The sequence below is a fragment of the Homo sapiens genome, chromosome 8 (assembly GCF_000001405.40).
Source record: "Homo sapiens chromosome 8, GRCh38.p14 Primary Assembly".
In the NCBI taxonomy this organism is placed as follows: domain Eukaryota; kingdom Metazoa; phylum Chordata; class Mammalia; order Primates; family Hominidae; genus Homo; species Homo sapiens.
Genome location: NC_000008.11, coordinates 72,505,102 through 72,514,515, shown reverse-complemented (window position 1 = coordinate 72,514,515; position 9,414 = coordinate 72,505,102).

The window sequence follows — 9,414 nt, the reverse complement described above, 5'->3', positions numbered from 1 at the left end:
TTCTATTTTTTTAAATGTCTTTAACATTCTAGATATAACTACTTTTGAGACATTATATATACACTAAGATTCTCAAAGTCCAACCTCACAGTTTCTTATTTTTGTTGACTCTTACTTATAAGGTGGATCATTTCCTTGTGCATTTTATAATTTTGAAAGGTGAGTTTATCACTGATGAAGATTGTTTTTCTTGAAGAACTATGTATACTTTAGGTTGAAGTCTGCTGCATAGTGGTTGTGCATTTGTTTGTGATTGGTGCTCCAAGTGTTTCCCAAGACCAAGGCTACTTTTTGACATAATTTTTTTTGTTGTGGTGGTTCCCTTACTTTGCATTTGGTAAAAAAGCACTGGTGCATGGCTCAGACTTTTGTTTATTTTCTTCTTCATTCACAGCTTCTTATCACTTCCCTGGGTAGAGGTGCTGGCAGAGAAAGTTTTTCAACATTCCCTTTTTTGAGGAGGCAGCTGTCCCAGAACTCAGTTTTATGCAGTTGTCTCAGGTCCAGCAACACACCTAGAGCAGATGGGCCCCAAAGACACAATTTCTGTCCTGGAACCATGATTAAAACCCCAGATCCTGCACCTAGAGCTTATCTGTAAGTAAGGTATTCCATACCTCTCTAGGATCCAACGGACCTAGAGCAGATGGGCCCCAAAGACACAATTTCTGTCCTGGAACCATGATTAAAACCCCAGATCCTGCACCCTAGAGCTTATCTGTAAGTAAGATATTCCATACCTCTCTAGGATCCCGTAACTTCAGCTCATGAGCTCACAGCTCTGCTATTAGGTTCTCCTTTTGTTTTTAGCACCAGAGATTTCTCTTATTTTTCTTTCAGATCAGACATATGTTTTTCCCCAATTTGTTTATATTATATTCCTTATTTCTTTAAATTTATAATAATAAAGTTTTCTTTATTAGTTTAGCCTACAGTAGTGCCAAAATCAAGAGGCCATTTTAGTTTGAATTGTTACAAAACAGTTATAAGATTTGTAAATTCAAGGGATAAATATAAAAGCAAGTTTAATAAAATAGGAATACTTGATATAGAATAATATCTCTTCAAAATTAATACAATTTTCAAAGTGGTTGAAACTTAAAATGTTGGAATTTTCCAGAATTCTCTCTGGAAGAATTTATTATTCCCAATAATGTACTCCAACAGGATTGTGGATATCCTAGCATTTACTACCTGTCTACTTCAGAAATGTATACACAGTCATCCCTCAGTATCCACAGGTGATTGGTTCCAGGACCCCCATAGCTACCAAAACCCATGGATGCTCAAGTCCATTATATAATATGGCTTACAATTTGCATATAACCTATGCAGATCCTCGTATGCTTTCAGTCTTCTCTGGGTTATACCTAATACAATATAAATGCTATTTAAATAGTTGTGCTATATTTTTATGTGCTATTTTTTATTGTCGTATTGCTGTTTTTATTGGTTTTGTTTTGAATATTTGTTATCAGCAGTTGGTTGCATTCAAGGATGTGGAACCCACTGATATAAAGGGCTGACTGTACATGACTTTATGATATGTGTGTATTATCTAGATCAAAATGCATGTCAGAACTTATTTTATCATAGAGATAGTATCTTAACTCAGTGAGGAAAGGGTGGTCTATTCAGTAGTGGTGATGATATAACTGTTTACCTCTTTGTGAAAAGAAGATAAACTCTTGAGAAAATGAATTTCAGATACGTTAAAGGCCTAAGTGTATGTTGAGGGGAAAACTTTAAGCCTAAAAAATATAGTGGTATATCTTTATGATATCAGAATAGAGAAAGTTTTGCAAAGCCAGAAGTATCCAGAATATATAAAGAATACCTACAGATCAACAAGAAAAAGACAAAAAGAGTATCAAAGTTTGGGAAAGGACATGGACAGACATTTCAGAGAACTGAAAACCCTACTTGCTAGTAAGCACATTAAAAATTGTTTTTATCTTCTGACATGTAAAATTTTAAGTAGGAAATTTGGTTCTCATTAACACCTGGTCAAAATGGAAGTTCTCTTGTGTCAGTAACATACAATTATAAATGTACATTTATAAACATACAATTTATATTACCATCACAAATATACCATACATTTTTAGGAGATTTAGACAAAATGGAATTCATGATAATTTCTGCATTTGCAAAGTACAAACCTGCAACAGTACTACAACCATGGTGTATGTGTGAAGTCATATGTTATATGTGTCTCACAATTATAAAAACAATTCACCAAGGCCAGGGGATCACTTCAGCCCAGGAGTTCAAGATCAGCCTGGGCAATGTAGTGAGATTCTGTCTCTACAAAAAAAAAATAAAAAATAAAAATAAATGAGCCAGTGTGGTGTTGTGTGCCTGTAGTCCCGGCTACTTAAAATACTGAGGTGGGAGGGTTGCTTGAGCCTGGGCGGTTGAGGCTGCAGTGAGCTATGATTGCACCACTGCATTCCAGCTTGAGTGACAGAATGATATCCTGTCTTGAAAAAAAAGAAAAGAGAAAAACATTGCAATCAATCTTTCAGGAGAAGGAATTAGTTATCCTTCTGTTTTTCTCTATCAAAGATGTTTTTTAATAAAATAATGATCATATGAAGAAATGAAGACAAGAAAGGTAGAAAAAATATTGTACAGGTGAGGCAGTTAATTAATAACAATTTTATACTAATGTTTTTGGATTTTGTAATTATTTTGATACTTTTTCAGCCTTAACATTTTGGAACTTATGTTTTTTGCTAATTCTAAAAAAATCATTTTTATAACAAATGGTATATTTTCAATGTTTTACTTTTTTCTGTTCTTTTCATTTTTTTCTTTTTCTTTTTTTTTTTTTTGAGACAAGGTCTTACTCTATCACCTGGGCTGGAGTGCAGTGCCACAATCATAGCTCAGGACAGCCTCAAACTCCAGGAACCCTTCTGCCTCAGCCTTCTGAGTAACTAAGACTGCAGGCACACTCCACCATGCCTGGCTAATTAAAATTTTTTTTTTTTTTTTAAGAAACGGGTTCTTACTATGTTGCCCAGGCTTGTCTCAAACTCCTGGGTACAAGTTCTCCTCTTGCCTCAGCCTCCCAAAGTGCTGGGATTACAGGTGTGAGCCACTCCTCCTCCAGCCTGTACTCTTTTACTGAAAGAGCACCCTTCCAATTAAATAAGCACTAATCTCCGTAAGGCCTGGATCTACCCATGGCTAGGGCTTCAAAGTTGATTAAGTTTTAAAATTTGGTTAAGTTTATTTGTAACATAGTTACAAATTTAGCACTCTGTACTCAGATTGGGGGGGAAAAAAGAGACAAACTTCTTATCAATGGCTGTTCTAATTTCTTTACGACCTTCCCTCACTTAAGAACTTAAATGGTCTTTGCAGTAACTGAGTCCCTTTCAAATAAATGCTTAGTCTTTCAGATTTTATCTCCTTTCCCCTTCTTTCCAAGTCAGTATTTGGATGATTTGGGTGTTGGTAGGGCTTTGGACAAGGTTTGTTAGACATTTTTGTACAAGGGGATAATGGGAGAGGTTTGGATCCATACACTGGAACACTTGTACTGGACAAATGATGTATTGGTTAGCTATTGCCACTGTAGTGCTACATAACAACCCCCCGCCAAAATTAATGTTTTGAAAGAATAATAATTTATTGTTATGAATCTGCAGTTTGGCCAGGGAGCTTCTGCAAATTTCAGCTGGACGCATGTGTGAGTCTGCAGTTGGTTGGGGTTAGATTGTTGAGGCAAGTCTTGTCTGGGCTGCTCTGCTTCAGGCTGCTGGTCTTCCTGTTGGCCAGGCAGCTCTGATCCACGTCTCTCATCCTCCTTGGACAGGCTGGGGCATAGTCTTCTCATGGTGAAAACAGAAGCTTAGAAGAATAAGCTCAGGTAAACAAGTACTTTCTAAATCTTTGGTCATGTTATGTCCACTAGCCTTCCATGGTCGAGAGTGACCTGGCCAAGCCCAGGTGATGGGGGGAATCATATTCCACCTATGGAGGTTGAAGAGGAAGGGGTGAATATTTCTGAACAATAATCTAATCTACCAAAGTGATATAGCATTTTACTTTCCAACGTAGTCTCAGAAAACAAGACTGTTGTTTAAATCCCAGCTCTATGACTTAACCTCTCTGAGTTCCATGTTTTCATCTGGAAAATGGGTGTATTCATAGCACCAGCCATCTCAGGGCTGCTCTCAGGAGCAGATGAGCCATATGTGCAATACTTAGAACAAGACTTAACTCGTGGTAAGACTTAAATACCTGGCAACCTGTTTTTACTGTCCTCTAGCTCCCCTTGTTTCTAAGCAGTTGTCACTGCCTGGTCAGCTGCCATCTGGTGGTGATGTCTGAGGCTAGTGGTTCATCTGTACCTGGGGTCCTCCCTTTGGTGACTAGCCCCAACATGGCTTCCTTTGGGTCTGCGGACCCCTGGGGTTTTGCTGTGACTCGTCTTTGGTCCCAGCTTGGGCCATGTGTACTGTAGTCTCCAATGTGGAATCACTTTTCCCCGTTGCTGTGAAAACCTCTGGCCACACAGGCTGTGGGATTGAAGGCGAGCAGGTGGTCTCAGGCTGCTTCTTCCCACATAGGATTTGAGTGTGGCTGAGGAGCGTTCCCCTGAACCCCTCCACACCGCCACTTTACTATGCCAGCCACATTAGAGGGCTTCCCTTCCTTAGCTGTTGGCTTCCCTGTGCCTAGATGCCTTCCCACTCTGGAATTCTGACCCAGAAATGCAGGGTGAGAACAAACTTGTCTCACAGACCAGCTTCTCTTACACAAGCCTCCCTTCTTTCTGCAACTCATGAGGTCAAGAAGGTGTGGGCTACCAACTTCCTCTTTCTTCCTGAGGTGCGTTTTATCACCTTCTTTCCTGAGGCAATACTGACAATTGGTTGCCAGCAAACGTATTTTACATGAAGGGAAACAAAAAACGCATCCTTTCAATATTTGCAAATGATTATCTTAGTTGCATTTTATTTTAATAAACAAATTCCACACTCTTGCCCCTGAGAGAAATAAATAGTATGTTGGAGACACAAATTCCATTTCTGAATAGTTAAAGAACTATAACGTTGAAGAGAGATTAAACTTGTTTTGAATATTCCTGAAGAGTCAAACTGGGACCAAAGTGTAGACTTTACTGAGAAACAACTTGTCGTGCAAAAGGCTAAAAACTGATATTTTTGTTTGTATTTTATTCGTAGGGGAAATGTTTATCCTAAAAAAGAGTTTACAATAAATTAATTCTGAGGGATATTTTAACATATATCACTATATTTTTGTTTTAACAAGTTTTTTAGGCATGTGGTAGAGATGCTGTCGATGAAAAGATGAAGCAGTTGACTTTAAGGCCCTGGCCACCTGAAGACTCTGCAATTCTTTATTTCTTTCTTCTCCCTTTTCCACCCCATCCGCTATTCTCCTCCTAATTACCTTACTTACCTAAGTTCCACTAAGCCTTTATGTTCTTCGTAGACTTGCTGGAGGTTGAGAATATATAAGTGGACAAAAATGCCAGTTTTCTCAGCACATCTCAGATGGTGGCAAATTAGGATATTCAGCTTTCTGCGAAGTGGCTGCCATGGTGGGCTCAGTCTGGGACCAGGGTACCAGTGAAACATGAGCAGCAGGTAGTTTCCAATGACTGGTGTGTTAAGGGACCCAATGTTCTTGGACATGTACAAGTTAGGGGCCAGCTTTCTGCCAGTGTCAGCCAAAGCCAGAGAGATTGCCCTTTCTCCCCACTCTTCATGATACATTTGGACCTTTTATAGCTTCTTTCTCCTTCTAGGCTACTTTGGGATTAAATTTCATAAAATGTCTCCAAAATAGCAATGTGCAAGCAGCCATCTTGTGAGTTATTCTAAGTCCTAAAGCTTCTACATGGGTGGCCCTGGACCCATGGCTATTTTGTTCACAGAAAAATTTGAGGATGGTAGTTTCCTCTCCTTTCAGATTGCTGAAAAGCTATCCTTCCTTTCAAATTGCTTGAGAACTCCCACCACTAGTTTTTTTCTCTGTCATAAGCCACAAAGGCAGGCTATTATTTTGATATGAAGTTAAAATGTTATATAGTAGGTTTTATCTCCTTGGAATGTAGGTGGGGACGAGACCTTCTCTAGCACAGACTAGTTTTTGTTAGAAGGTGAAGAGACCTAATGCTAATCAATGAGATGCTGCCCAGATAATTTCAGAATGAGGAAGAAATGAGAGCACTTAGAAACTAAAAGGGGAGTGAGTGTCACTAGTAACATAGGGGTAGACATAATATCATTAAGAGGAGACAGAAACATATGTGTGAGAGAAAAGGTTGGCAGCTTTCAGAGAAGGAGCTCTCAGGGGATGCTCTGATTGTCAGGATTCCACAGAAAGGTGGGGATTTCTACTCCTCCCTTGAGACAACGGAGACCTAAAGTAGACACCTCTGGCACATCTCTGCCCTCTCACCCATGAAGCAGAAGGGAATTATTTAAAATTTGAAAAAAATGCTTTATTTGTACATAGATGTTTGTATTTCTTTAAAAATATTCTAGATTACTTTTTTCCTGAAAAGTTAAGCAAAACTTACAAATTAACAATTTCAAAGATAATCTAATAAAAATAAGAGTTTATTAGGTGATTTATTTTCAGTGCTGGGGAAAAGCCCAAATGGTAGGTTCTCTGCAGCCAAAGGCAGGTCCCATCAGTTCTCTCATGGTAGACTCCCAAAATGCAGGCATCACATCCAAGATAGATCAAGCAACCTCTACAGGCCTGGCCTACATTATGATTAAAAAAAAAAACACAGCACTAATATAAGTAACAACAATGTGCATTGACCCTCATATGCCAAATACTACACTTAGTATTAGACGCATGTTATCTCATTGATTCTCTTACTAGGTGAAGTGGCAGCTATTATTATTAGCTGTCTTACAGATAAAGAATTAGAGGCAGAGAGAGCTTAAGTAGCTCACTAAGTCATAAATAGTAGAGCTGGGATATGAACTCAGCTTGTCTTATACCAGATCCTAAACATTCATCACCATCAAAGACAAATCTTACCAACCTTGCCATTTTGCCTTGATTTTCCCTAGCAGGATAATTCTATTCCTAGGTTTCTCTCTGCCTCGTCTCTATAATGAATGAATCATTTTTCTAAGTATTCCTTTTTTTCCCAAGATCTAGTATGTTTATGGATGCCTATTCATCCTTCAAGGACAGCTAAACCAAACCCCTTTGGTTAAACCTTTCTTGATGTCACATGTGGTTTTGTTATAGTGCACTGACTTGATTGTTTCCATGTCTGTATCTCTCAGAACACCAGGTCTGTATCTCTCAGAACACCAGGAGTAAGAGGCATGAGGCCAGGAGTTGTATAAAGTGATGAATCCAGCATCTCCAGGAAATACATGAATGAACATGTGGGTCAATTGCACCAAGGAGTTAAGAGAAGAAATCAGCAGCTATATTTGGGGGTCATTTTCTATATACAACATTTTGGTATTTTCTTTATAACATTATTTCTGAATTTTACAGAAACCTAGAAGTTTAATAGTCCTAGAAATATGCAACCACTTTGCCTGTAAAACCTTTTATATTCTGTTGAAACGAGAGAGGGAGAATAAAAACAAAGGGCTCAGGTTCTGAAAATAAGGCCAATCCAATGGACCAGAAATGTATATCATTGATTGTCTACTCTTACTTACTAGTATTTATGGCTCTTCATAGACACATGTCGATATAAATATACATGTTTATATGATTGTGGTCCCTGTACAGTAAGTCTTCAATGTCATCCATAGGTTCTTGGAAACTGTGACTTTAAGCAAAATGATGTATAACAAAACCAATTTCACCATAGGCTAATTAATATAAGCAAGACTTAAGTTCCTATGGCATATTTGTGGTCACAAAAAATATCACTACACTTCTAAATAAAGACCCATACACTTCTAATATTAAGCAGTGAAATAAATATGAGCTATACATACATTTAATAAAGACTAATAAAAACAAGTAAGATAGTTATTTATCTAATTTTTGGTGAATTGAGTGATGACAGCCATAGTGATGGTGGGTTAAATCAAGGAATGAATGTTTGCAAACTGAAAATTTGTAAGGAGCACCTCCTGCCACCTTGCAGTTCAAAAACAAACAAAGAAAGCAGTCTTGCTGAGCACTTTCATACTGAATCACTTATTGTCGTGCATTTGTATAATTATTGTATACTTTACAAATTTTTATTATAATAACTTACATTTATTTTCCAACCCACTTTTTGAATTCTGGGTGGTGGGTGGCCCGAGCCCATCCTGGCAGCTCAGGGTGCAAGGTAGGGACTGACGCTAGACAGGATGCGACCCCATCCCATCGCAGGGTGTGCTAGTGGGCTTTGGGATGTGGGAGGAAATGGGAGGACCTGGAGAAAACCCACACAGACATGGGGAGAACATGTCAACTCCTCACAGAGAGTGGTCCCAGCCAGGGAGAGATTTTTTTCTCATCAATATTACAACAAAATGATACTGAACGAAAATACATTATTTGGGGACCTGCGGTATGTGTTTGGATGAGGAGCATAATTATAAGGAACAGTGTTTCATTACCTCTTTCATTTATCATTAGATGACTGACATATTAACATTATTAATATAATATATAATAATAATAATATAAATTAGATAGATGAAGTAGCAAATGTACAGCATGCTCCAGTGCAAACCTTCCACTATGCTCGGGTTCTTTACATTACGTACTCAAAGGCTTTTAAAAATTTAACCAGAGTCTATAACTCATTCAGATTTCCTTAGTATTTAATTAATGTCCCTTTTCTGTTCCGGAGTGCTATCCAAGACATCACGTTACTTCTCAATGTTATGTTTTCTTATGTTCCTCTGGGCTGTGATGATTTCTCAGACTTTCCTTATTTTGGATGACCTTGAAAGTTTTGAAAAGTACGGGCCAAGTATTTTGTAGAATGTACTTCTGTCAGGATCTTTCTGGTTTTTGTTTTTTGTTTTTTTGTTTTTTGTTTTCTCATGATTAGACTGGAGTTACGGGTTTTGGGGAAGAAAATCACAGAGGGAAAGTGCCATTCTCATCACATCACACTACTGACGTGACTTATCACTGTTGATGTTAATCTTGATCACCTGATTGAGGCAGTACTTGTGAAGTTTCTCCACTGAAAAAATACTCTTTCCTTAGTTTTCCACACTGCACTCTGGAAGGCAGCCACTATGGGAAGCCCACACTTAAGGAAAGAGGAGCTATTCTCCACTGCCTTGAGGGGCAGTAGCTACACAAATTATTGGAATTCTTCTGCAGAGGATGTTTGCCTTTCTTTCTTTTTTTCTTTCTTTCTTTTCTTTCTTTCTTTTCTTTCTTTCTTTTTCTTTCTTTCTTTTTCTTTCTTTCTCTTTCTTTCTTTCTTTT